At 39.0% G+C, this 2,029-nt stretch overlaps 1 annotated feature.

The window, feature by feature from the left end:
- Positions 602-1,101: an enhancer, noted in NCBI's record as "H3K4me1 hESC enhancer chr4:12029015-12029514 (GRCh37/hg19 assembly coordinates)". NCBI's record gives its function as "activates a minimal SCP1, AML or CMV promoter by ChIP-STARR-seq in primed H9 embryonic stem cells {active_cell/tissue: H9 hESC(primed)}" and the evidence as "EXISTENCE:reporter gene assay evidence [ECO:0000049][PMID:30033119]".

Genomic DNA, 2,029 nt, shown 5'->3' on the forward strand with positions numbered 1-2,029 from the left:
AGGAAGGTGGGTAAAACAAAACAAAACACGGAATTTGAACAGGGGAATGACATCATTTGACTCATATAGATTATGAAAAAGAGGCAGATGGTCATTGCTTAATAAACTTTTATTGCAAAAATGGATGCAGGAATAAAAACAGAAAAATACATGGATGGCCTGGTCTTTTCAGTTACTTGTTTTTGTTTTGCTCTGTCTTGTATTTCTTTCCTTTTTTTAATATTTTTTTATTTTTGAGAAATGGTCTTGCTTTGTCACCAGGCTGGAGTATATTGTGACTATTGTGACTAGGCTGGAGTGCAGTTGTTAGCTCACTGCAGCCTTGACTTCCCGGGCTCAACTGATCCTCCCTCCTCACCTCCCAAGTAGCTGGGACTACAGGTGCAGTTTAGTTCCTGTTTTTTTTTTTTTTTTTTTTGTTAGAGACGGAGTCTCTCTCTGTCACCCAGGCTGGAGTGCAGTGGCGCCATCTCGGCTGACTGCAACCTCCGCCTCCCGGGTTCACGCCATTCTCCTGCCTCAGCCTCCGGAGTAGCTGGGACTACAGGCACCCGCCACCACGCCTGGCTAATTTTTGTATTTTTAGTAGAGACAGGGTTTCACTGTGTTAGCCAGGATGGTCTCCAGCTCCTGACCTCGTCATCCGACCGCCTCGGCCTCCAAAGTGCTGGGATTACAGGCGTGAACCACCGCGCCCGGCCGCACTTTAGTTCATTTTTAAAAAATGTCTCCCTGCCAATATTACACAACCAAATCCATAGCTTGCCATTTAAGACTCTCAATCGTCTGGCTTACCTTTCGGCTTCAGCTTCAGGCAATTCTACCCACGCTCTTCACTCTGCAGCAGCCTGAGACTGCGTGCATTTATATACTCCTTTCACAGACTTTCCTTTCTCAGTGTGATTGCCATTAGCTAGAGAGTTTGTCTTCATCTCACTGATTTCCATCGATTGTTTAGGACTCACCTCAGGTGATATCAATTTCTGAAAGCTTGCTTGCTTCTCAACTTCCAAATCATGCCAAATGTAGCAGAGAAGAGGAAAAGATTGAGAATTCCAGGGTGAATTTTATTATGTTCTGTAGCACCTCTCAGAAAATCAAATGCTATTAATGAGATTAAATATTTTCCTTATGCTTATTAATATTTGTATTTCCTCTTTTAAAATTTTGATCTTTCTCTTTTATTATTTTGCAGCACATGCTAATTTCCATTGGCTCATAGAATTATTTATATAAAAATATACGTGCACCTAATCTTTCATACATACTCCAAATTTTTTCTGGTTTATAATTCATCACTTAACATATTTATAATATTTTTATTGTATAGAAAAGTTTAGTATAGTAAAATCGATGAATATTTTTCTCACAATATGTTTTACTTTAAGCTTTGAAATGCTTTTTAGTTTTTCTTTTTACATTAGCTTTTCACTCAATTTTGCATTTATGTTGTTGTATGTGGAAGGCACAATAATAATGTATAAAACTTTAAAAATGCATTGTAGATCTTATTGCACCAGCTGGGAAAAAAAATGCCAGGCTTTGGTTGTGCTTTAAAAGCTGTTTCATCATCGAACTTTGTTTCTATTCTTTCAGCACCTGAAAATAGCCCAAGATGAAATGAGCAATCCCAGATGCCTCAGCAGATTGTACCACTTTCATAAATTTTCTATTCGCTATCGTGGTAGATAACATTAATGCTACTTGAGCAGACTTAATTCACCAGCTTTACTGTCATGGGGCTACAGCTAGCCTCTCTGTGAAAAATTGTTATAAAGCATCTTAAAATGTGGTTCCCATACCCTGGACAACCACAATCAAACTCATTCACGATGCTTGTTAATCATGCAGATTTATGGGCCCCGGACAAAATTCCTGCAACACAATCTTTGCAATTTAGGATCACATCCTGTGAAGACTCAGATCCTAGGGTTCTCTAACTCTTACTCTGGATTCAATGAGACGAATGTGATTTTCGCTTTGATACTATTTCCAAAAGCTCAGCAATTAACCTGCCTCAAACCCCAAA

The sequence above is a fragment of the Homo sapiens genome, chromosome 4, assembly GCF_000001405.40.
Source record: "Homo sapiens chromosome 4, GRCh38.p14 Primary Assembly".
Lineage (NCBI taxonomy): Eukaryota > Metazoa > Chordata > Mammalia > Primates > Hominidae > Homo > Homo sapiens.